The sequence below is a fragment of the Homo sapiens genome, chromosome Y, assembly GCF_000001405.40.
Source record: "Homo sapiens chromosome Y, GRCh38.p14 Primary Assembly".
NCBI lineage: Eukaryota > Metazoa > Chordata > Mammalia > Primates > Hominidae > Homo > Homo sapiens.
Genome location: NC_000024.10, coordinates 20,753,509 through 20,781,298, shown reverse-complemented (window position 1 = coordinate 20,781,298; position 27,790 = coordinate 20,753,509). Strand labels below are relative to the sequence as shown.

General features: G+C 42.7%; 1 protein-coding gene across 1 annotated transcript; it reads right to left on the bottom strand.

Moving 5' to 3' along the window:
• RPS4Y2 (ribosomal protein S4 Y-linked 2) lies at nt 267–25,191 on the bottom strand. The gene is made up of 7 exons (NM_001039567.3): nt 25,133–25,191; nt 24,444–24,521; nt 21,251–21,431; nt 19,918–20,015; nt 12,323–12,494; nt 1,633–1,790; nt 267–368 (listed from the first exon to the last, which is right to left on the bottom strand). The coding sequence occupies exons 1-7, from the start codon at nt 25,133–25,135 to the stop codon at nt 267–269; spliced, it is 792 nt and encodes a 263-aa protein (NP_001034656.1). The 5' UTR covers nt 25,136–25,191.

The window sequence follows — 27,790 nt, the reverse complement described above, 5'->3', positions numbered from 1 at the left end:
ACTTCATTTATTGATGTTATTCCCATCATTCTGACCACAGAGAAGATGTGGGTAACATGTATGAGGGAAGGAAAGAAAAGGTTTATTTCCTTGAGGGTCAGAGGAAGAACGGGTGGTACCTAGAGATCTTAAGATGGTGCCAAAACCATGCCCAAAATTCAAACCCTATCATTATCCACAAGGGAAAAAGAAAAAAACATACACATTAGGAAACAAGAATTCATTGTTTATTTGTGCAAAGAAAAAAAATAAGCCACTACTGTAATTTAGCCACTGCTCTGTTTGGCAGCCAGCCTCTTGTCTCTCTCTTCAGCAATAGTAAGTCGGATGCCCTTTCCCCTGGGCAGGGAAATCCAAGGTTTATTACCCTGTAATTGAGAAGGAGATAAAATAAGTACATAAAAAAGGGATGAAAAGGGAGGAGACGAAAGAAAGCTGGAGGGAAAGACAGGAAAAAAACAACACTCCACCAAAACACACATGCCTTGTACCTTCCTTTACATTAAGGGGCAGCTAACAGAACACAACCAAACAAAATTCCCAACAAAATAAAAATTTCCTTATACATGTTTCCTGAGAGGTTGTCTGTCTCTCACTGTTCCTCCCACTCCCCACTGCTGAGCTGCTGAATACAGGTCTTCCTGCTTCTATTTTGTGTGAAGCAATCAGTCAAGAAGCTTTTCATGAACATCTTTTTCCATAAGGCACTCAGTGCTGAGAAAAAAAAAAAGGCCATTAACCTCAGCTTCTCATTATTTTGAAGTGGAGAACTGTCAGCTCCCTGTCATAAGCTTTACAGAGCTTTCACAGGCATCTACTCAGTCCTTCAGTTCCTTCAGAAACACCAGATGATATGATACACCTGTTTTCAAAGGTACAGAATGAGGTGTCATAATTCAGCACTGAGAAGAGAAATGGCCCAACTATAGAGCTGCCAAGTGACACAGCCAAAGAGGCAACAGCAGGCTTCCCCTCTGTACCATATCATCTCTCACGTACCAAATAGCTGCCAGGGTACAAGTGTTAAGATACCACTCCCAAGGCTGAATTGCTTGATGAAAAGCTTGCCCGTCCTTAAGTCACAGGGTAACAGACTCTCATGTGAGGATACTGTGTGACTCCAGAGGTGCTCCTTCACTGAAAAGCCCTCAAAAGATCTCAGAGCAAGGTCATTCTGAATGAGTAAACGAAACTAACAAGCAGTATGTGACTTGTAAATGCTCTTATTCTCAAATTAGCAACTCACTCATAGTCCCTTACATCAATCTTCATCATCAAATACATGTTCAATGATGAGGCATATAATGTAGTCTCAGAGGAGATGGCAGACAGTGACCTTAATCCAGCACATACCAGTGGTATAGCCCTGCAGAAGTTGCAAGGCTGAGTTTAACTTAATTTGTTGTGTGACAGTGCTGGCACCTCACACAGACCTCCTTGAGAGGCAGGCGCAAGGCTCTAGATCTAATATTCTTTCTGGTCAGAGGCTAAATACAGAGCTTGCTGCACTCTGTGCACCTTAACACAGGAAAAACACAAGAACAAACAGACAAACACCAACAGTGGATGCAGGTCTTTACATTTTTTAGGGTGAGTCTTCTTAGAAAGTAGTAAAGAGAGTGCAAGTCTTACATTGCCAATGACAAAAATGTTGGAAATCCTTGTGGCAAAGCTGTTGCCGTTGGCATCCTTCACATGTACCACATCGCAAGAACCAGGATGTCTTTCCCTGTTTGTGATCACACCAACACGACCGAGGTTAGCTCCAGCAATCACCATACATACATTGCCTAGAGGGAAAGGAAAATAAACAGGAGAGGAGTCATTTTAAAACCAGATAGAGGCCTGCTGTCCTTTAAAACCAATTTACCACAGACAGGCTCACCGGGACCAAAAAATGGAGCATCATTACAAAATTGTAATGTCAAGAACTCTTGTCACTATGAACATGCTTTTTGTGAAGTAGACTGCAGTCAGCGTTTTAAGGCAAGCCCCTAAGGATTTTTCCAATGACAAGCTTTCCCTGCACTGTTTGTCCAACAATAATTCTTCAAAGGTTGAATAAATAATCATTTTTGGGGGGGACAAAGATGGCATGGAAGAGTACTGGGTGGGAAGAAAGAAGAATGATTGACTGAGAGGGAGGGAGAACTAGAGAAATTCAGGCTAATCAGAAAGACACTAGACAATAACGAAAGGCCTTTAACTGGACTGCTAGCTAATCCAATCTCTAGAGGGGGAAACTTCCAATGTTCTGAGGGCTGTCACAGGGCTCCTGGAAGAATAGTGTTCATTTCAGATATCTGGACTTATTTTTGTGGGACATAACCACCTAATATAAGCATCCTATATAGGGCACAGGCCACCATGTCAAGGAAGTTTTATCACAGAATAAGCATGTTTTAAGAAAAAGTTTCCTCAAACCACTGCTAATAAAGACTCAGCCATAAGTCCACTTTTTTATGTGAAGACACATTTAAAAAAAAGGAAAAAAAAAACAAGGACACGTCCTTTTTTTTAAAATGAAGACACACCAAAGCCAGAGAATGCAGCCCTGTCTTAATGCCAACAAAACAAAACACAAACTAGTAACCTAGCCTAAAATACTCCAGGATAAATTTGAAATTATAACCTATAAATCAAGGGGAAAAACATAAATCAAGAGCACAAACACTTATTGAGCTCTCAAAAACTAATGGGAAAAAGAAGAAACCAACTCAACCTGAGGGTCTTAAAGATAAGCCTCTGGGATAAAAGAAAATTAAAATTATGTTCAGAGTAAAAATTCTTCGATTTGACAATGAACAAAGAGATTTCCAATGAACAAAGAGATTTCTGCAGTTTGACCGTCCCTACCACAGACATTTGTTGATCCAAAATACAGATTTTTAACAGAAATCCAGGGCCAGCGGGAAATATGTGTTTGGCATGGTGAGAAGCCACAGGAATTAAAAGGACCAATGGTTTTACCTCAGCATTAACAACTGTACTGAGAGTCAGAGAAGTGATTTGAAAGTAATTTTGTGTAAGTGCTGGTATCGCATTTATTCCAGATGGTATGGATACCCAATAATGTTCAGGTAAGTCACAAGAAAGTACCCACAGACCCCTATCTGAAATATAAGAAAAATCACATAAACAGCCCAAGATTTTGCTTCTTAGGTCAGTGTACTTGGCCAGTTCTTTGGGGTCCTTGTGGCAACCACTGAGAAGACAGTAAACGAGCAGCACCAAACACCCTCAGTTACAAAAAACTTTTGTACACTATGCTTTAGGGCAGTTTAGGAAGATCTGGATAAAAACGCCTGCTCAGTAACAAAATGCATGTTTGTTCTACGTGATAAGCAGAAGATGACACCCAAAAAAGAGGTGAGATGAAATGCCAGTGAAAGCTTGGTGTTTTGTTCCTCATAGAAAAGACCCAATTGCAGAGACTCCTGTAAAAGAAAATCAGTACTTGGGAAAGAGCAGCAGAAATGCCTCATGCTGCTTATGTCAATAATAAGGTCCACAAAGGTTTTTAGTTCATTTTCCAGAGTCCTTAGGTGGGAACACTATGGACTTAGTATGCATAGGGAAAAAATAGAACTAAGTTAATCACGGTAAGATTCAAACTGTTAATAGTTCCTTCCCTTCACTTGTTTGTCACTGCTTCTAAAAGTGAAGAAAGGGTATAAATTGATGAGAACACTCATTCTTTCAAGGTGTGTTAAGTTCCAATAAAAAGCCCCTGACATTTACAAAAGTTCCCACTAGGGCACACTAGTAAATGTAGGTTGAAAGCTAAGACCCTTCACAAGAATAACTGTAATTCTTGAATGTGTCAGATATATTCTTTATGTCTATCAGACAACCCTCAGAAAAACAGACTGAGTGGAAACTAATGTTGACTTTTGTTGTGAGACTCTGCTTTCTTTCTGATGGCCTCACAAAGACAGTGGAATAGAAATCAAAGCCCCAGGTTCAGTCTCTTGAGTGAAGGCTGTAACAGGAGACCCTTCCCACCATTAGATGGACCCCAAAGGCAGGACCCTCACAAACACATGAGCCCAAAAACAACCCTGTTTTCCTACTAACAAAATACAGGATTTAGCCAGGCGCAAATGCTCATGTTTGTAATCCCAGCACTCTGGGGAGTTGAGGCGGGCGGTTCACCTGAGGACAGGAGTTCAAGACAAGCTTGGCCAACATGGTGAAACCCCATCTCTACCACAAATACAAAAATTAGCCCAGTGTGGTGGTGGGCACCTCAGCCTCGCGGAAGGCTGAGGCAGGAGAATCGCTTGAACCCGAGAGGCAGAGGTTGTAGTGTGCCGAGGCTGGGTCATTGCACTCCAAACAGAGCAAGACTCTGTCTCAAAAAAAAAAAAAATTGACCTCATATTGTTCTTACTAACAACACTTTACATATAGTGTCTAGCATGGAAGGAACTAAGATACCATGATAAAGAACCACCATCATCAACACAGCATCAAACCAAATGCAGAACTTGGAACTGCCTTGAAAGAGTCTACAAGGACAAAAGCAAAACAAAACAGAACAAAACTAATGTAAATCACAAGAAGCCCACCTTTGTAGAGTGACCTAGTGGATTTGAAAATCAAGTAATGAAAATTTAGTGAACAAAATTAAGAATGGAAAGGAATGGGTTTAAAGAAACAGCCTACAATTGGTTGAAGAGAGAATCAGAAAAAGAGAAGGTTGCTGGGAAGATATGCTCATGATGCACCATGGAAAGACAAAGGATGAAAAACAGAGAAGACCGGGTGACTGGGTCTACTGTGAGAAGCTCTAATACAAGTTAAATGCAAGTCCCGAAAACCAAGGTGAGAGGAAGGTTAGGGACAAAGCAGTATGTGAAAACATAATTTTCTAGAATGATGCCAACCCAGATGCATGAAACCCGTCAAAAATCTCAAGAAAGGTAAGGAGAGAAACAGATAGCATATTCCCACCCACATCCTGCTACTGCCCCAGAGGAGGATAAAGAAGGTGGTTAATCCTGAGCTTGGGTGGTTTCAATATGCACACTGTAATCACGAGCACAACCACTTAAAATTAACAGAACCAGATGTGGCTTTATTTCAAAACCACCAAGGAAACAAATAAAAACTAAAATGTCAAAAAAATAACACAGCAGACATCTGCAAAATGGCACAAGAGGAGGCCCCAGGCTCTCCCTCCGACTGGACACACAGATTTCACAATAACATATACAACCAAACTGCATTGGTGAACACTCCACCAATCAGATAAGAGGCTGCAGGACCCCAGGCCAGTGCAAAGCCAAGAAAAGCAGCACTAGACCAATAGAAACATTTGTGGCATTTTACCTGCACAACATGTTCCACTTCCCCAGCACCGCGTAACACATTTGGGAAAAAAAAAAAAAAATCCAAAATCCTGGCATCTCCCACAGGAAGGAAAGAGAAATGTGAACCATTCATGCGACATTCTGGCTTTTCAAGGGGTCAAAACCTGCCTGACAAACTGCTTTCTGTCTTACCTGAGTCAATACTGACAAGGAAGGTAGTTTGGACACCCAGGCTGAGGGACTCAGAGAAAGAAGACAAGACATGCAGGTGGGGTGCGGTGGCTCGGGCCTGTAATCCTAGCACTTTGGGAGGCTGTGGTGGACTGATCACTTGAGGCCAGCGGTTAAAGACCAGCCTGGTCAATATGGTGAAACTCTGTCTCTAACTAAAAATACAAAAAATTAGGTAGGCATGGTGGTGCGTGCCTGGAATACCACCTACTTCGGAGTCTGAGGCAGGAGAATGATTGAACCTAGGAGGCAGAGGTTGCAGTTGAGATTAAGCCACTACACTCCAGGCTAGGTGACACAGCAAGACTGTGCCTCAAAAACAACAAACAAACAAAAAAAACAAAGATCTGCAGGTGCTGGGGGGACGGGACAGTTGTTACAGCACCAGAGAGGCCGTACTACACAGACAGGCATCAGGGAATGAAAGAGATTAGGGTCTTCACAGAAGCTCAACCAGGAAAGCGCACACCCAAGTCCCTAGTTGAGAGATCCCCAGAACCTCTGGCCTGGCTGACTGGTGAAAGTCATCGTCCCTGTATGAAGATACCTGGTAGAGATTGGGAGAGGTGGCCGTTTTTCTCTAGAAAAATAAGCCTAAACAAATGATGATCTATGAGTTACCTGAAAAAGAATTCAAACTAACCATCTTAAAGATGCACATCAAACTAAGGGAACACAGATAGACAAACAAAATCAGAAAAACAACGCATAAACATGAGAGTTATCAACAAAGTAAAGGAAACCCACAACAAATACCCATAATCAAACTGGAGCCGAATACCTTTAAACTGAATTGAAAAATTCACAGGTTCAGGAAGAATTTGCAAACTTGAAGACAGGCCATTGAAATTAACAAGTCAGAGGAGCAAAAAGAAAAAAAATAACAAAGAAAGGTGAGCCTAAGGAAGGGAGTATGAGACAACATCAAGAGGAACAATACACAAATTACAAGACAATACACAAATTACAAGAGTCCTAGAAGGAGAAGAGACAGAAACAGAGAATATGACAAGGGAATTTGGGAGACAGAGCGGGAGGGGCAGAAGGCCTTCTAGAAAAATAATAATGGCCCGGGTGCGGTGGCTTACACCTGTAATCCCAGCACTTTTGGGAGGCCAAGGTGGGCGGATTACGAGGTCAGGAGATTGAGACCATCCTGGCTAACACGGTGAAACCCCATCTCTACTAAAAATACAAAAAATCAGCAGAGTGCAGTGGTGGGCACCTGTAGTCCCAGCTACTAGGGAGGCTGAGGCAGGAGAATGGCGTGAACCCAGAAGGAGCCACTGCACTCCAGCCTGGGCAATAGAACAAGACTCCATCTCAAAAAAAAAAAAAAAAAAAAAAAAAGAGGCCCAAACTCCCCAGTTGGGAGAAAGAAGATGGACATAGAAATTCAAGAAGCTGAACTCCAACTAGAATAAGCCCAAAGAGACACACATCAAGAGACAATATAATCAAAGTGTCACATCACAGAGAAAGAATCTGGGAAAGAATCATGTACAAGGAAGCTCCTGCTAGATAAGCACTTTTCTGATAATCTCTGATAACTCTGCCATCCAGAAGATAGAGGGATGACATACTTCAAGTGTCAATGAAAAGAGTCTAACTCTGTAAAATATTTGAAGAGATTTATTCTGAGCCAAATACGAGCGACCATGGTCCATGACACAGCTCTTAGGAGGTCCTGAGAACACGTGCCCAAAGTGGTCAGGACACAGCTCGGTTTTATACACTTTAGAAGGGCATGAGACATCAAATACATTTAAGAAACACATTGGTTTGGTCCAGAAAGGGCGGACAACTCAAAGTGGGGTGGGGTGGTCCAGGCTATTGGTGAATTTCAGCATTTTCTGGTTGGCAACTGGTTTCCCTAAGTTGAGTTTGCCTAAAGACCTGGGATTGACAGACAGGGAATGTTTTAGTTAAGATAAAAGATGGTGGAGATCAAAGTTGAGGAAGTCTTATAATGGCTGCCCTCAGAGACAAGAGATGACAAATGTTTCCGATTCAAATTTTAGTTAATCTCTTTAAGATTGAAAAGATTTAGAAGAAAAAGATCTAGCTACGTGAAGAGAGACTCTTTACAAATACAGATTTCCCCCTCACAAGGAACAGTTTTGCAGGGCCATTTCAAAATATGGCAAAGAAACATGCTTTGAGGTAAAATATTTTAATTTTCTTCATTGTCTCGAAATGTTATGCCAGTGTCAGGCTGGAAAGTAAGTCATGATATGTAGGGTTAAAATAAAACCCATCTGATGATAAGTCATGCCCATTTGTAGGGCATGATTCCCAAGACGCCTTAGATAGGAATTTAGGCAAGATTAAAATCAGAGTTCAGTCCTCACAAGAATACCATTTCCAGCAAAGCTGTCCTTCAAAATTGAAGAAAATAAGACCTTCCCAGATAAACAAAAGGCACTAGGCTTGCCCTACAAGAAATGCTGAAGGGAATCCTTCAAGTGTCCAAGAAAAAGACATTAGACACAAAACCATATGAAAATATAAAGATCTCTGGTAAAGGTAAATATACAGAAAAATAGAAAATCATAATGGTTTACAAATCACTTTTAAGTCTGGTATAAAATTTAAAACATGAAAGCATAAGAACCACCATAAACCAATGTAAATGGGTACACAATAGAAAAAGATTAACATGTGGCATCAATAACAAAGTTGGTCTGAGGAGGTATGGAGATGGAATTAACAGCTGAAAACAGATTGTTTTCAATTTAAGATAATTTATGTAATTCCCTTGGTAACCAGGAAGAAAATAACCAAGGAAGGACAGATACAATAAAATGAGAAAGGATTCAAAGTATTCTTTAAAACACAAAAGGCAGGTAATAAGGGAGAAAAAATAGGGACAAAATATCTACAGAACATAACAGAAAATAGTTAGCAACAGAGCTACACTAATGCCTTCCTTAACAGTAATTATTGACTATAAATAAATTAACTCCCCACCCCAATCTTAGGACAAAGACTAGCTAAATGAATAAAACCAACCAACCAACCAAGGTACAATTATATGCTACTAACAAAAGACCAGTTTTAGATTTAATGACACACATAGGCTAAAAGTGTAGGACTAAAGCTGATGTTCCAGGCAAATGGTAACCAAAAGAGGGCAGGGGCTGACCAAACTTGGTCAGACAAAATAGACTGTAAGTCAAAAACTGTCACATAAGACAAGGCAGCTCAAAAATGCTTATGTTACAAAAGAAGACCTCAAACCAAAACCTAACTAGATCACAAGAAACTAGAAAAAGAATAGAAAAACCCAAGGTTAGCAGAAGGAAGGAAATTAAATAAAGATTGGAGCAGACATAAGAGAAAAAAAAAAAACCGGAAAAAAGCTAAGAGTTGATTTGAAAAAAAAAAAAGATTAACAAAAGGGACAAAACCTAGGCTGGGTGTGGTAACTCCCGCCTGTAATCACAGCACTTTGGGAGACAGAAGCAGGTTGATCACCTGAGCCCAGGAGTTCAAGACCAATGTAAACAACATGGCAAAACCCCATTTCCATGACAACAATACAAAAATTAGCCAGGTGTGGCAGGGCATGTGCCTGTGGTCCTAGCTACTCAGGACACTGAGGCAGGAGAATTATCTAAGCCTAGGGAAGTTGAGGCTGCAGTAAGTAGTGATCGAACAACTGCACTCCAGCCTGGATGACACAGAGTGAGAAGGCAGGCAGGTAGGCAGGCAGGCAGGCACAAAGTTAGGTAACTCACACATTCTGATTTGACACACAATACAAAATGAAAATGACAGCAATCCAACAGTCTTTTATTAGCATAAAAGACAAACAACAAAAGGAAGAAAATAGAGCCCAGAAATAAACCTAAGGGTATATGGCCAAATGATCTTCAACAAGGGTGCCCAGAACTCTCAATGGAGAAAGGACAGTTGCTTCAACAAATGGTGTTGGTGAAACTAGGTCCCCATGTAAAAGAACAACATGGGGAAGACTTTACCTTACACCATACAAAAAATCAATTCTAAATGGATTCAACGTAAGGCCTCAAACTATAAAGCACCACAGCCAAAAACAGAGGACCACAAGCTTCATGATATTAGGGACATGATTTCTTGGATATGACACCAAAAGCAAAAATACACAAATTCAAAATTGCCTGCCAATCAAAGGAAACAATCAGTAAGGGTGAAAAGGCAACCAAACGAATGAGAGAAAATATCCGCAAATCTTACATCTGATAATATCTAAAGAACTCCTATAATGCAATAATACCAAGAAACAACCTGACTAAATACTGGGCAAAGGGCTCGAATGAGACCTTTCTCTAAAGACATACAAGCACACAAAAAGATGCTCAATATCTCTACTTATCACAGAAACCCAAATTTAAAAGAACAACAACAAAAACTAAAGAGATATGACCTCATGCCTATCAGGGTTGTCAAGAAAGAAAAAAGAAAAAAATATAAAAAGCAAACAAAAGCAAAGTATGGGCAGGAATGTGGAGAAACTGAAACTCTTCTGCACTGTTGGGGAGAATGTAAAACAGTGGGGCTGCTATGAAAAGCAGCACAAAAATTACTCAAAAATTGTAAAATTATCACATATGATCCAGCAATCCCACTTCTGAGTATATACATAAAAACATCCAACAGGATCTGGGAGAGTTATCTGCACAGCTGTGTCCGCAGCAACATTACTCACAATAGTCAAGAGGTGGTGGCAACCGAAATGCCCATCCAGAAGAACAGATAAACAAAATGTGGTGTACACACAATTTAGTATTATTCTGCCTCAGAAAGAGGAAGGAAATACTGTCACATGCCAGAACATGGATGATGAACCTTGAGGACACTGCAAAGTAAACTAGTCAAACAAAGACAATCACTATGATTTCCACTTATTAAGACAAACCCAAAGGAGTCAAATTCACAGAAGCAAAGAGTGGGACGGTGGTTGTTGGGGGCTATGGGGAGGAGGAAGTGGCAGAGTTGTTTAATGGGCAGAGTTTCAGTTTTACAAGATGTAGGCATTCTGGAGATCTGCCACACAACAATGTAAATATAGTTAACACTAATGATCCATACCGTTAAAAATAATTAAGATGGTAATTCATGATGTATCTTTTTTTTTAAACATAATTAAAAATTACTTAGGCATTTTAAACCAAACAAACCAAGAACTATAAAGAAACCTTTGCCCTTATTCAGTTGGTTTCTTCTTACCAGAAATATTGGCTCTGTGAAATTATTTTATGTAAACTCCCAGGATTAAACTTAATAAGCAAGTAATAAACAAGCAAACCAAGCATTTCATGTAAAACAAAGATCTATATATTTCAAATAGAGTTAGGTGGGGGAGAATAATCTGTTGAATTTTAACAGGGAAATTCATTTAATAAACAAATGGCAAATATTCCATTTAATTGGAGATAGGAAGTCCATGTCCGTTTTAAAAATTATTCTCAAAGGTATGCAAAAGTTGACAGACAAGCATAATACGCTCCTACCTATCCACTCTCCAGTTTCAAAACATTTGAAAACTCATGGCCAGCATTGATTCATCTTTATCCATGTAGTCCTGCATTGGATCACTTAGAAACAAATGGCCAGTATCAAATCATTTGAACTTGAAGTATTTTGGCAAGCCTCTCAAAAAGCTAAGTCACTCTGCAGATGACTGCTAGATGTCTTAAGCTTCTTCCAATATATACATGCTTTCTTTTCTCCCTTTATCCAAGTTTGTATTGATTCTTTGACAAGAATACTTCCTGAATGGTACTGTGCACTGCCACTACTGGGAGATGCATGATGTCTAGTTATCTCTTTTGTGGTCACACTGAAATCAACAGGTTTAGACATCGTAAGCATGAAACATCCAGTTTAATATCCCCTCTCTCAATGTTTTCCCCTAATGGGAAGGCCTCTCAACTTTCACAGCCAAACATTCTTGCCTAACATTTCCAGTTCAACAGTAAATACCAGGAGTTCAGGCAGCACAGGCACAAGGTCATAGAGGTCAGACAACAATCAGACAGCTTCAGCGTGTGGAGTACTGAATTCAAGACAGCCAGCTTGGGGTCTTTAAACAGCAAGGCAACTGACGACTTTGGCTGGGTCTTAAATCAGGGTCCAAGTGGGGATTGTGGGGATGCACTTAAGCAACAGAACGAAGTGCAAAGTCATCAAAGATAGGCAGAAAAAGGAGTTGTCATTGTTTGTTGTGCCTATCCTATTTTTTCAGTGTTTCTGCATTTCTAGAAATTTCTGTTAAACACACTGGGCAAAATATTTCACTTCATTAGCACATCAGATGCTAGCAAGCACTTGGGTGTAAAGCTGTCAGGAGTCAGAGCCTGGGGTGTAGGGAGGAGAAACAAATCTGCAGACACATCTTTTCCTCATCACTAGTTTGAGGTTATCTGGACAACTTCAGCCCTTCAACTCAAGGAATACACATAAAATTTACACATTTAAAACAAAGTTCCCCTCTCATGACAAACCAAATGGACACCGAGTTTACACAGCTATGGTTTACATTCTTGAAAAAGGCCAGGCTGTTGGATGTAGCCCAAAGGGACGTCACACCACTATTCAGCATCAAGAACCCACTGCAAACCCAAGAGACCACGAGGCAACATACTCTCTTAGGGAGAGCCAAATGTGTTCTCTCCAGTCAAGATGGTAATACAGATAAAAGAGAATAAAATAGAAAGAAAAGATAGAAAAAGAAAAGGCAAGGGAGGTGGCCAACAGACAAGGGAAAAAAAAAACAACAAAAAAAACCTTACCTGTGTCAAATTTGATAAAGCTGGTTATCTTCCCAGTCCCTAAATCAATCTGCACAGTATCGTTCACCTTGATGAGAGGATCTGGGTAGCGAATGGTTCGAGCATCATGAGTCACCAGGTGTGGAATTCCCTTTGTCCCCACAGTAATCTTCCTCACTTTGCACAACTTGTACTATACACATAAGGAAAACCAATTTAGCATGTAAACACAAACTCAGCCCAAAGCAGTCACCCAGTCATTATTAATCCCACCAATTTTCAACATTTCCTTAGTCAGAGGGAGTGCTCTTGGAAAAACTATATTAACCAGTCACAGAGCTGATGGTCTGCCATACTGATTTAGTAATTGAGACATCTGGGAAACCTCCCCAAGGGGGAATCTGTTTCAGAACCCTCTGGTGGCTCCTGGAGGAGTACTCAGCTGAACTAACTTCCGGTCCTTTATCACAGGCTAAGCTTGTTGCCTGTACATCTGAGTGGTAACACAGACTCAACCGACTGGTCTATCACTTTCTCCTCAGGGATGTTTTTCCCGAGAGAACTCTCATCTTGCAACTCTGGAAAGGTGGCTACATGGTGCCCTAGCAACAAACTTAACTCTACCACTGCTAAAAACATGACGCTTTGATGACCAGGTTAGGTAAAAACAGCTTTTCCAGGCAGCTAGATACCTTCCATACACAATGCTGCTCTTCCTCACCTGATTTTTAAGGGTCACATCCCATTATCTACTTGCCTTAGCTCCTTGAGCTCTGGTGCTGTTCAAATGACATCTAACAGCAGAAGCTGTTCAAAATGTCTCATACCAAGTACGTGTATCATCCCAACAGTTAGCCAAGCCCCATTATGTTCCAGAAACAATTTTCAGGGGCTTCAAATGGTATACTTCGTAATCTCAAATGAACATAACCCATTTGTGGTTGTTACTGCCCATCCTATGTACCACGGGCTCCCCACAGAGTGTCACTGCTCAGAAGTAACAAAATGGGTTTTCTTTTAGCTTTGCTGGGAGAAAAAGCTTCTCAGGGCAAGTTTTGGGTAAATGTGAAAATGACAAGGACAAACGTAGAGTGCCAGGTAACAGAAAACCCCCCAAGAAAAGATGAGAGAAAACCTCCAAGAAGGGCACAATAAATGAACTCCAAGAGCCAATACTTTTTTTTTTTTTTCTAAATCAGCTCCTGCATTTCCTCTACAGATGTTGCACTCTCTCCCTCATCTTTGGGCTCTCAGGACTGACTAGAGTTGCCAGCTTGTCTCTGTCATTGCTTTTGACCTGCCTAGGAGGTGTGGAAAGAAACATGGTGAGAAAAGTAGCCAGATCTTGGGCTCCACTCCTATAAAAAGTCCCCAAGTTCAAATACTGTCCCCTTAAGCTTCAGAGGATAAGATGGGAGTAATAACTGCACAGTCCTAGATGTAATACATTTATAAGATGAAGGAACATAAAGGACCTAGCAAAGCAGTTAACGCCAGCTAATATTATTTCTGCTGCTACTACTGATCCAACACTATTCAAGGCGCTATGGAGATGTGAGGCCATTTAATATAACCCAGCAGTCCAAGACAGTGACGACACTCCACATGTGGAACTTAGGCCATATTAACTCTATTAGTTAAGGTAAATCTGGAATTCACCAGCCAGGCATATCCAAGCCCACTTATCCATGTTAAGGCCTGGCTCCTAGGCAGTCAATCTAATGAGTGCACTCTCTTCTCTCTACCTCAAAAGTTCACAGTTGACACAACCCCCCCAGGCACTCTCTTCAGTAAGTGGTCAGTTTGTTTACCAACACCAGCTCACATTTACCACCACTACAAATACAAACCCAAGATCATTTTCAGCTTTCTTGGCCAGGGAGTTAAGCACAGAAATGAAGACTGCCTAGCTCCCTGATCCCTAATTTGAATTTGAGATTCACTGAGCAGCCAAGCAGAATCGCCTCAGACAATAAATGGCATACTAAGGGCACAGAGGGTTACTAACCTGCCAGCTTCGGGTGAATACATGTGGATGGGGTACAATATGATTATCGAAGCTCATTGTTCTCTTTGCCTTCTACTCCTAAGTGGAAAACTACCAAGCTACAGTCCATAAGCACCAGAGCATTGGCCAAGAATCCAGGCTTGTTCAAGCCTCGAGTAAATAAGGTCCTAGAGCTGCTGAGGACTAAGCAGGCAGAGAAAACATGTTTTCCTCTTATACTTCCTAAGGCCTTGGGACCAAATCATAAGAAAGAGAACACTACTCCAGAGCCTATACTCTGCCACCAGTGAGGCCAGACTTGAAAACAGCCTGTCTGTTGACTTCACTCTTCCATCCCCATTTAGGAGAAGGGAAACTTGCAATTTGCCTTTAAAAGTTACTATCCCATCTTCAGTACCCTTCCTCCTTTCTCCTGCCTTTGAAATCCTTATCTTTCACAGTGCAATTCCAGTGACCACTTACTAAAGCAGTATTACAAAACCTAGGGCTACTAGTGGACATTCTCAATCTCTCCAGCTCTACTCCCTGCTAGATTTAAGAAATCCTGTCCTTGATAACATGAGAAAAGAACTCTGAAATGCCATGCTCTAGCTCTCAAATGGCTCTACACACAGTTACCAAGATCCCTATTACCAATATCGCTATTATAATCACTGTTCCCTATTCAGAATAAAATCTGCCCCTCCAACTTCATGAGGCAAGTCTTTGCATCATGGCCTGCTGAATGCATTCATGTCAGCCAACTGTCCTGCACATTTTTTGCATGTGACATCCTGAACCTACTCGGGGATTCTAAAATGTTTCCAGCGAAAGCTAATTCTGTCCCCTTTCCACCCTGGCTCATTAGCTCCAAATATCCCAGGTAACCCAGGTCCAAGCAAGTTCTATAGCTGTGAACACATAGAAGGCCTATTCACACTTCAAAGCCTACCTGCTGCCCTCCACTTTTCACATACATCCTGTGTAGTATACTCTGAGAACAGGGCTAAAGGAGTCACAGTAGTTAACAGGTACTGCTGACGGTCAGGAGACAGACAGCAAAAACAAAACAAGTAAAAATACTCTTCTCCTGTATCTTCCACAGATCCTCTCACTAACCAAACTATTTCTTCATGACAGCAATAGCATCATCATGGCATCAAACTTGACACCTTGGGCCCAAAGGTCCTTTGTCTTTAAACGCAGGCATGAAACACCCTCTGAAAAAGGCATGGCCTCTCCCTTTAAAGGTGCTACCAGTTCCAAGTGGCCTCCCTCCATCCTCTGAGGTTCACTCTGGAACCATTAACCCAAGCTTCATGATGCATGTCAGTCCTTGAAGCATCCACAGGTAACTTGACTGAAACACAGATGACACTCAGTAACTATCCATAACTGAGTAAAATGCCTGTAAGCATGCTAGTACATTAACAGGTAACAATTCTGTCTAACCTTTATACAGAGCTGACTGACCGAGTTTGCAGTACTTTTAAGACCAGGACTAAGACAGGCTAAAAACTTCTAAACACTTTTATTAAGAGAAGTGCTCCTGCAAAAGACAACACCATGGCAGGCTTTCCTCATATTCACCTCAAACAACTTTATTACCTAAGCACCAAACCTTCATGTGGCCAAGACAGCTCAGGATTCAGATCTGGGGTCGTCTTGCTTAGTAGAGGCCCATCCTGCCAGGAAACTAGAGCTTCACTAAGGGTATGGCTGGACATTTCATGAGGGGAACTTCCAGCTGAGTAAACCTTGTACCAGAGGGGTAGCCTCAACCATCTGCAAAAAACCAATCACTTTTCCTTTGCCCCACAACTGAAAAGACTGCCTTCAGATTTTAAAGATGTGACTCCCCCATCATCTTCTGACCCCACCCAACAATGAACGAAACATCTTTTGCAGCAATTTGAATGGAGCTGGAAGCCATTATTCTAAGTGAACTAACACAGGAGTGGAAAAAATCAAAACTCTTAGGTTCTCGATTGTAAGTGGGAGCTACGCTATGAGTATGCAAAAGCATACAAATGATATAATGGGCTTCAGAGACTTGGGAGGGGGCCAGGAATAAAAATAACTGTACATTAGGTTACGTACAGTCACACACTACTAGGGTGACAGGCGCACTAATATCTCAAAATTCACCACTGTGTAACCCAAAAACTACTTGAATCTAAAAAACTACTCAATTTTTTAAATTTAATTATTGTTTTTAAAAGAAATTTGGAGAAAAAGACTATTTGTAGCTGTCGTACAGCACCCTACCAAAAGAAAACCTCAACTCTGCTGCCTGTCTGCTCAGCAATCTTGACGAGCAATGATTTGTAATCACATCACCACCTATTACAACATGCCTACCCCATCAACACCCTTTCCATACAACCTGGACTGCAAGGTGAGGCCCCTGGTCATTCTCCAAAGTGAATGTCAAATGTGAGGCTCCACTGAAAGCATTCTACCCTGTCCCTCTCGAACTGCAGATTAAAGAACTGTTCGCTTCAAGTTTCCACTGCCCTTTGAATAACACCCACACAAACCAGTCTGAAATCCTTCCCTACCTGGCCTCCCTTAGAAACAAACAAATGCAATTGCCCAGGTTCCATCTTTTCTGAAACTTCAACTGCCTATCCTGTCCGCCAGTCTTTTTCCTTGCCCACCACAAAAGCACTAGTCTCCACATTCATGGTCTTGACCACTACCTCCTTTTGCACCAGACTCCAATTGTGTAAAAAAAAAAAAAGGGGGAAACATCGCCTCTTATCTTAAAAGAAACTCCCTCTTAACAAAGTTACCTCTATTTACCACCATCTATCTTCTACTTTGGGTATAACTGCCACCTTTATGAGGTTCAGTCTTCTCAATTTTCAAGAATGACAATCCACAAACACATCTCCGGTTGGTTACTCTCTGACTTCCTCTTTCTGATTTCTTTAACCAGTGTTTTCTACTTTTCAGGAAACAGAACCTGCACCACCTAGATCCTGTTCATAAACCCTCTGCATTATGAAATCTCTCTCTCCCCATGCACATCCATCATTGAATACAAGCTGCCCAAAGTCAATGAGGATTCTGTGCCAACTATTCAGCCTCTATTGTAACTCATCTGAGCAGTGTTTCAGTCCTCTATTTCAGTCAGCATCTACTTCCTTCTATCATCTACTTGAAAGTTCCAACGCAAGCTGAACCCAAAGCATTAATGTACTGTCCTTCCACAACTCTCTCAAGCATCCATGTATTTCATGAAGATCTGCAGCTACCATCTCCTTACCCTACCACCAAATACTCAGTCACCCTGTCCCACATCTTCTTCCCCTCTACCACAGCAGGGGATGCATACACTAAACCCTTTGTCTCCTTTGCCATCTCCCAGGTGATACTTGTGTCCTCTACCCCAACTTGCAATGGGAACAGGTACTGCCTCAGTTCCCATTACTCATGTGCAGGCTCATCACGGGCTCACCCAAAATCTTTCCTTTTCTCCCATCCACTGTAGTGGCAATCACAAAACAACAACAACAACAAAACAAAAACCTCATCTCCCATCCTTAAATCTAATGACTCCCATTTCTGTGGTCCTCAACTAATACCAAGTTGTTAAAGGGAAAAATTATGTCTGAAATCTATAAGGCTGTTTTCTCAAGACCCATAAAATATCCCTTTTCTAGTTTTAATTTCAAGGGTGGAGGGCCGTTTGGATGTTCTGTCTCTCCACTAACCTGTGCTACCTGGTGGACTAGTAATCTGCATAAAAAGGCTCCGTGGTGTGTCCCTGATACACTGAAATCCAAGGAGCCCACCACTCTCCACTCTGAAGTCACTGTGCCCTTCAACCTGTGGCTCTAGACATGCTGGCTGGGGTGTGACAGGGAATGCTACCTTTCTAGCTATCGAAAGAAACAACCAGCCAACAAATAAGCTCAACCAAAACTTCCCCAAATCTCTTATCTCTTGCACAAAGATAAGGTCCTTACTCTAACCCAAACCCAGAATAGGCATTTGGCACCTGTGGCTACGATGTGATACTCACCTGGACACAAGCTTTTCACATGGTGACTGGCCAATGTAGTAGAACCAGTACTAGGTATTAACAACTCTCCAGTATCTCCTTCTCCTACTCCATCTCTCCCCATTTAAAAATTCACAGCAACGGCTGCGTGTGGTGGTTTATGCCTGTAATCCCAGCACTTTGGAAGGCCCAGGCAGGTGGATTACGAGGTCAGGAGTTCAAAACCAGCCTGGCCAATATGGTGAAACCCCATGTCTACTAAAAATATAAAAATTAGCCGGGAGGGGTGGCACATGCCTGTAGTCCCAGCTACTTGGGATGCCGAGGCAGATTAGTATGAACCCAGGAGGCGGAGGTTGCAGCGAGCCGAGATGGCACCACTGCACTCCAGTCTGGGCGACAGAGTGAGACTCAGTCAAAAAAAAAAAAAAATTCACAGGGACTACCAATCTGCATTGTCTCTTGAGATCCAAATTCCTTACAAAAGCAGAAACCAGTCATCAGATTTGAGATTTCCCTGTGCTTTCTAGCTTTTAGACACAACAGGATCCAACACCCTGGGCAACTGAACACTCTCCAGGACACTAGACCTAGTTCCTACCACCTAAAACAAAGCACCTCATTGTGGGAACAATCCACAAAAACAGAAGGGACACTGCATCAAGGGACACTACCAAAGAAGTTAAAAACAACCAACAACTGATCAATTAAGAAACTACCCAGATATGAAAGTATTTGTGAATTCCTATAGGGACTCCAATGTGTTTCCCCCAAAGAAATAACTGAGAAAAAGGCAAGCTGATTAAACAAAGTGGAAACAATGTCTGATAAAACATTGAAATTCATCTATAGAATGTGTCTCATATTTAGGTGGCATTTGGTCACTGTACAGGTGATTGGGTTATGTGAGAAATAAGGAAGAAGTCACCCCATGACCTTAAATCCAGGGAAAAGAGGAATGGATGACTGAGGGGTGATCCTGGTTTCCAAAGAGGTGTTCCCTACACAGAAAAAAGGCAGGTGCTGTCCACACGGAAAGGAACTTCCTTGAAAAGTTTCCCCGATGGTACTGACTTTGGCCATTAAATTTGGAGAAGGGGGAGTTTAACGGTTGAGGCAGACTTCAGGAAGTCAACAATCTTCTATGTCTAGCAAGTGCGAGGCACCACTGCTGCTAACAGTCACAGAAACCTGGCAAGAAAGCATATTATCACCACTTACAGAGAAAATGAAGGCTCACAAAAGGTTCTACATACTGTTGCCTACGGTTACATAATTAATCAATGACAGGGTCTGGATTCTTACCCAGGCCTTCCTGGTTCCAATACCAGACTTTTCCTATACAGAAACATCTTGTCCCTCAGAGAACTGCTTACTCTGTACGCTGTTTCTAAACAGCCTCGTCTGGAAAATCCACTGCCTTGTATCAGTGTTGGTAGACCTACGTGCCTGAATTGAACAACCAGACAAATAGGCAGAGATAGGCACTATTCCCAGAATATGGCTTAAATGCCCGGACAAACAGGCAGAGATAGGCACTATTCCCAGAATATGGCTTAAATGCCGTCTGAGAACCTTAGCAACAGACCTATCTGTCTGGAAATTATAAAGCTCACTTACCTTTGCCTCTTCCACTGTGATACGATGAACAGCAAAACAGCCCTTGGTATTATAGACCAGGCGGAAATGCTCACCTGTTTTCTCAATGCTGATGACATCTGATCACAAACAAGTATAAGGAACATTATTAATGCAGTTTCTTTGGCCTGCACAGCTGGAGCTCTCTGTGCCAAGCTGAATGTGAGAACATTTTAGCAGCGTAGGGGTCCCCAGCGCTTGATGGGGGTGCTTGAATGAAACCAACCAACCCCGGTCCTGTCCCAGTAAATATCATCCAACAAAAGGAAATGTCTATATATATGGCTACTCTACCACTTTCTATGTTATTGTGCAACGGCTGCTTGAGACTGTGTTCTGGGTTAATGCACTCAGGATGCTGAGGAGAAAACACACATAAGCATACCCACACACACCAGAAAACCAAATGAACAAGCAGTCCTCACATTTAAGCAGACAAGGCTCAAGGCTCTGCAGGTTGCCCGGTCAATGGCTTGGCACCCCCCGCCACGACTCTGACTTCCCTTATCAGGAGTCCTGCCTTGCTTGGGACTTGGAGTTTTAAGAAAGAAAGCAAAATACAAAATGAAGAAAAAAAAAAAAGTATTGAGCCTGTCGCCATGAAAGAAAGAGAGAACAAACCACTAGGTCAGAATTCCTCAGTGCCTTTCCCTACCATCCTTCTCAGGACACTTTTTCCCTAGACGAGTGTGACCCTTCTCTCCCTTCTCCACTCTCCTCTCCCACCAAGGTGCAAATGCATCCTTGGAGATCCAGCATGGTTAGGTCATCAACAGAGAAAGTGGGAAGACAGGGCCAAAACCCTGTTCACTGACAAAGATTCTCTCTCCTTGACCAGTCATTAGCCAGACTCCTCTAAGCCCTCTTCTTGGCTGAGCTTCAGCCTTGGCTATGAAGATCTGAACCACTAACATGGCTTCTAAAAACTCAAGATGAGCCCAGACCCCTTCAAAGTGCCTGCCTGACAAACTCAAGACTAACCAAAAGAATTTACTGTTTTTTCCAGCCAACACCTGAGGACAGCTTCTCTGTCTCCCAGTCTCTGTTGGGAGGGTAGGAACCAAACTTCGATAACCACCAGCTAGCAGCCACTGCTGATCTCATCCCATTACATTACCAACCCCTTTCCAGCTTTTCACTTGTGCCTTGCCACGCTCTCCCTATCCCTCATTCTCCTTCTGAAATGACCAGCAGTAACTCATGTAGAAATCAAAGTTCAGTGTTGGGTTTTGCTTATCGTTGGCAACATGTAAGCCTCACACCTTGTTTTTCTCTCAACCTGTTCCTTCTTCAAAACAAAGAACTCTTTCCTTACCTATGAATCCAGCAGGGTATGTGATGTCCACTCGAACCTTGCCATCAATTTTGAGGAAGTGTTGCATACATATCTTCTTTACCTCATCTCCAGTCAATGCATACTTGAGTCTATTCCTGAGGAAGACTATCAGGGGAAGACATTCCCTCAGCTTGTGAGGACCTGTCGATGGACGAGGTGCCTGTAGAAGACAATGGCAGGCAACCTAATCTCTCAAGATCCGCCCCTTACATAACCAGATTGAGTAGATGACTTGCCTTAGTTCAGCATTAGCTGAACTTAACTAGTTGGGGAAGAGGAATATAAGAGGGCAATTATTTCATCAATTTAGAGAGGTCTGTCTTGTTAGGAAGGTCACAACCCCAACTATGGAAGTCTCTTTTTGTGCCCCTTTGTTTCACAAATCCAGTCTCACAACCATCTCCCCATTTTGCCCTGCCCCAAGCACCACCAGCACTGGTACTGCCTCTTCAAACCTCCCTTCAATACAATACTACATCCCATGTATCTCAGGTGTAGGTTACGCTTTACCCACAACCTACGAAGACATATTCTACTACTTTCTCACCATTCTAGGCCTCAAAGTCCCACACAAGCCCTGCCGATATTGCTGGACCACCTCTTAACACAGACTGTGTGCTCTTCCCTTTCTTGGCTGCTTGCCACCAGCTTAAGTGTCATCAAATTCCCACTCCAATAAATCCTATAACCTATACTTTTGCAGTTTTAGTGTTATACCATCCTTTGGCTATTTGCTACCAGTACCTGTAAAGGTCTCAAGCTCTGGGGCTGTATTGCCTTTAACTCCACTCCTCAATTATCTCTTAAGCTGAGGCCACACAGGAATCCTTTCTAATGAAGGCTGTTCTTAAAGCTCCTTCTACAGATGCCTATTTAGCTTTATCCCTCTTAAAATGGACTCAATCATTAACCACACACTTCCATCGACGCCATGGGGAAAAGAGTGGAGCCCAGAAGACTGAGGACTAAGTTCCCAGCAAGTCTTCTTAAAAAGAGTGCCTTGACCAGGTGCAGCGGCTCACCCCTGTAATCCCAGCACTTTAAAAGGCCAAGGTAAGCAGATCACCTGAGGTCAGGAGTTTGACCCAGCCTGACCAATGTGGAGAAACCCCATCTTTACTAAAAATACAAAATCAGCTGGGCTTGGTGGTACATGCCTGTGATCTCAGCTACTTGGGAGGCCGAGGCAGCAGAATCACTTGAATCCAGGAGGCGGATGTTGCAGTGAGCCATGATTGTGCCATTGCATTCCAGCCTGGGAAACAAGACTGAAACTCCGTCTCAAAAAAAAAAAAAAAAAAAAAAAAAGAGAGAGAGTGCCTTGCTCATCCACTTAACAATAGAGGGAACAGGGGCCCAACCTGGGAGGTCAGACACTAGGGGGCAGTAGCAGAGATAAGACTTGGAAGCAGAAACTGACACGGAAAGTTTGCAAATCCAGCTCTGCAAACAACACAGAGTCCATGTTCTCTCCGAAAATGCCAAGACAAGGAAGACAAATTTCTGCTACTCAGTGTTCAGAGTTCTAAGTCCCAAGAAAAGGCTACGTAATCTATCAAGTTAGTTACCAAGTGCCTATTATGTGGATGTGGACCCTCAGGGCTGCATTATTTTCTCTTAGATGCCCTATGTTTATTCCTGCCCAACAAAACTTTTGGCATCTTAATCACCTCGCTTCTGTCTGCTTCTTCACACTGGCTCCCTTTCTGTCTCAGAAGACCCAAGACTTTCTTATGGCTTCAACCCCTCTCTCCCATTGTTACCACACCACCAATGTGGAAACTGCCTAGTCCGCCTCTTGTCAGATGCTTGCCTCCTTTGCCTCTGGGCATACTGTCCTCATCCTGCCAGGTCTTCAAGGTTGAGTTCAAGAGACTCCTGCATTTCTCACGCAATTTCTTGCCTGTGTTGCATGGACCCCAGTAGCCGTTACTGTTAAAACCGTATCTTGGGCTCAATGTAAACAGCAGCTACTCCACCCTCTGAAACAAAGGGTAACTTCAAATTAAATACATTTTATTATTAATGGGGACTCAGTGCACTGTCACTGAACCCTTTCTTATCTGGAATTTAGCACATTCATTAATCCCCTCAGGTCTGGGTTCAGGAAGTGCCCTCTAAAGTGGAGAGCTCAAACAGCAAAAGAGACCACCAGGACTTGACATCCTGGTGTTTTGTTGTTGCTGTTGGCATTTTTAATCCTTGAGAGCACAAGCCTCAAGAAATGGGTTCATGATATAACACAATTTGAATAAATCACAACACAGCAGCCTAACAGCTCTTTTGAAAATATGAGGGGCGCCATGGCTAATGCTTATAATCCCAGCACTGTGGGAGTGGCCACCAGCGGGTGGATCAGAAGGTCAGGAAATTGAGAACATCTTGGCCAACAGGGTGAAACTTGGTATCTACTAAAAATACAAAATTTAGATCGGCGTGGTGACTAAAAGATCCCAGCTACTGGGGAGGCTGAGGCATGAGAATCGCTTGAACCCGGAGGCAGAGGTTGCAGTGAGCTAAGATCATGCCACAGCACTCCAGCCTGGTGACAAGCCAAGACTCAGTTTCAAAAAAAAAAAAAAAAAAAACCCCAAACATGTCCAATAGTTCACTCACTTATGTCTTTCTGTTCTTCTGTAAGAGGCTTCTTTATTTCACACTCTTTAAAACTGCAGTGCTCAAAACCCCATTGATCCTTCCAACAGCCCTACTTTTTTCTCCCCCCAGCCTTCAGCACCTGTGAACATACTGTAACTTCCCTCTCCTCCCAGCAGGATGTAAGCTTCAACAAGAAAGAGGGATAGATTTTGTTGTCCAACCATTTTGTACCCGGACATATCCTTAAGGGTGGGCCCACATAACAACACCTGGCATGTATTAGGCTCTCAATAGTTACTAAAAGATGGCAAGCCCAGGTTCTCAGCGACATTATGGACCACAATAGTGCTCAAAGTTGAGGTCAGAGAGCTGTTCGACCCGCTGTTTCCAAACAGGATGTCCTAACTTTTTTCTCAGGGACCTTTTCATTACAGTGCAAGGACAAGTTCCGTGTGCAGCAAGTCTTCACCAACGAAAATCTCACATAAATAAGCAAACAGTGTTCCCACGAAATAGCAAGCCACAGGTACACAGCATGCACTTTTGAGTAAAAAGCAAATACAGTTATACTCACAAATACACCAGTTAGTTTATCCAGCATCCAATGCTTCGGCGCTGCAACACGCTTCAAGTGCTTCTTGGGGCCCCGGGCCTGAAAAAGACACCAAACTTTTTCAGAGAAACTCGTCTCAGTTAACAGTAAAATGTCTTTATCTTCAGCTGTAACAACTGCTAACGGGTAATACCGGATCGGAGGAGAAAGGACAGTCCAGGCTATTTCACGCCCAGTTTTGAGCAAATATTACTTCCTGCCAGACTCCAGAACAAACCCCGCAAAACTCCCAGACCTTTGACAACCTCACGAGTCTCTCTGGCGTCTGTCAAGACAGCGTCCACAGTGCTCTCCAAGCGAATCTGAGACTGCTTCAACGTATGGATATAAGCTAACCCGCGTAAAAAGCCAGTGCTGGGCTGCGGAGTCAAGGGTGGACTTGTAAGGTTAGCCGAGGAAGCTTATTCCTAACAAGACTCACGTGCCAACAGCACCACCGGCGCCCAGGCCGAGCACAAGGGCCAGCCCGGAACCCCCAGCCGCACTCTTCTCAGACCTCCGCTCTCCAAATCGGGTTTCCTGAAGCAGCACCAGCAGCATTCCCACCCGCCAAGCAGCGGTACCCGAAAAGTAAAAGCTTGCCAAGATGGAAGGCCCTTCTTCAAAGGATGGAGGCAGATAAATCCGGAGCTAGGACGCAGACGTCTTACCATGGCGAAATCCCGCGACGGAACAGAACCTCTCCTTTTACGGTGCAACCGTAATCTGCGGTGATAAACAGCGGGAAGTCAAATGAGTGAGAATTTCAGTTCCAGATTCCGCCTCGGGTAACCAACCTATTATTCTTCCGTTGTAGAGGTCACAGCTCGGAACTGAGTTTCTTAGCATATTCAGTTTCTGATACTGATTCATAGGTGTCAGTTATGCCACGGGACTTTTTGTTGTGCTTCCTCCCCTCAGGTCGGCTAAGCTGGGAGGACGCAGTTTACACTCTAAAAATTATCTTTCGCCAACTTTAAAAATATTTAACAGAAGCTCTGAAGGAGCAGGATTTAGCCGCCTTAAAAAAAAAAAAGCCAATCGTTAAGAAATAACCTGTATGATTCCTTGTGACTGTGACATGTTGTATTGTAAAATCATGATTTAAGAAACAATTCGTTTTTCTGAATTAGGGCCAATTTCACAGGTTTGAGAATGTATTAAAATCGTCTGTATTGTCAACTTTGAAAGGGTAGGTTTTATGGGACGTGAATTGTAAGTTCAATACCTTGTTTTGCATTAACTTGAGGTGATGGTTGCACAACTCTGTGCATGTCCCTAAAACCTCCAAAACAATTCACTTTTAAAAAGGTGAACTCGGCTATGTAAGTTGTACCACGCTCGCATGTGTGTGATGTCACAGCTTTATTGAGGTGGAATTGCTATACAAAACACAACCAGCCAAATGGACTTCCTTAATCTGTACCGTTTGACGAGTTCGGACATAGGCGTAAACCCACGGAACCATCATCACAATCGAGGTAATAAACATCTCCATCACCATCAAAAATTTCCTTGTGTTATTTTCTAGGTATTTCTTTTCTTTTTCTTTTTCTTTTCCTTTTCTTTCTTTCTTTTATTGTGTTTTTGAATGTGGCAGGGTCTGGCTCTGTCGCACCGGGTGGAGGGCAGGGGCGCCATCTCAGGTCCCGGCAGCCTCGACTTTCCGGGGGTTGAGTGTTCCTCCCACCTCAGCCTCCCACAGTGCTGAGACCCACAGGCACCTGCCAGCACTTTACGGAATTTTTATTTTTATTTATTTATTTATTTATTTATTGAGACGGAGTCTGGCACTGTCGCCGGGGCTGGAATGCAATGGCGCGATCTCGGCTCACTGCAACCTACACCTCCTGGCTTAAAGCCATTCTCCTGCCTCAGCCTCCTGAGTCGCTGGGATTACAGGCGCCCGCCACCAGGCCTGGCTGTTTTTTTGTACTTTTAGTATAGACAGGGTTTCACTGTGTTGGCCAAGCTTGTGTCAGACTCCTGACTTCATGAACCACCGACTCTGCCTCCCAAAGTGCTGGGATTACAGGCATGAGCCACCAAGCCTGGCCTCCAGCTTTTCTTTTCTTTTTCCTTTAACTGTAGAGAGAACACAACACAGTAACATCGACCATTTTTACCAATTTGTAAGCGCGTAACAGTGCCTAAAATGTTTTTGTTGTTATGTTTTGTTTGTCTTTGCATTCAATTCCTTGATTCAAGTCTATAGGCACTGTATGTGCCAGCTAGCAAGACAGCAGGCTGGAATAGATCTGAACTCCACACTGTTTGCTCTGTACTAGTATTCACCTCTTCTATTCTGAGACTCCTAGACTCCTTTTGCCATTACTTAGGTCCCTTTGCTGCTTTTGTGGTAGGAGTTATTAAGAAATTATTTTAGGCAAATAGAGAGGAAAAGTTTTCATTTCTATTAAAGCTGCTCTAGAAATGTTTCTTGTCTAGAAGCAAAGCCTGGGCTCTTAGAGCTTTGGCTCTTAGGGCTTGGCTGGCAAACTTTGATATGCAAATGTAGGCCATTAGAAACTGGGTCCACCCAAACATGGCAATTCCTGTGCCCTCCTGCCCTTGCCCTACATGTTCCTGGCAACATGGCCACCCCCACATATCCCCACGTGTGTAGAACATCATGGCGTCCTTCGTTTGCATATTAAAAGACTAGAGTAGTTGGGCCCGCTTTTTCGTGGGCTAAGTGAATGACATGCCTTGTCAAACCAATCCACTGTGCCCTGTGCAAATCAGACACCGCCTCCTCCAGCCTCTACGTATACCTGGCTTGTTTCCTCCCCACTTGGGTTCCATCTCTTGGCTTTCGAGTCCTCCCTCCCTCTGTGTCTGTACAGGGGAGCTTCTTCCTTCTTTGTTCTTCCTTGTTTCTTGCCTATTAAACTCTCTGCTCCTTAAAACAACTCCACCTGTGTCCTGTTGTTTTATCTAATTCAATGTGAGACAAGAGCTCTGGTGTTCTTACCCTCATCAGAGCACTATCAATTTCAGTTCTAGTCCTGGACAGCTCTCGGAGAGCCCTTAACCTTAACTGGACTGGTTTCTTCCACTCTCTGCGGCAGACAACTCACTTTTCCATTCTTTTCCCCATCATTTTCCTTTTTTATTATTCTCCCCCAAAAAAGCATTCGCTCCTCCAGATATAACAGTGCTGAATAGTGCTCTCTGACTAAAACGGGCTTTTCTGATTGAATCATTTTCAGAAGACTGTTAGTCAAATACATATGTAGGCATGAGGAGAGCCGTTACCTGCAAAATTATCCTTGTTAAACTCCAATCCACAAGTGCTAGGGGAGACCCATTTGAGTAATAATAAGATT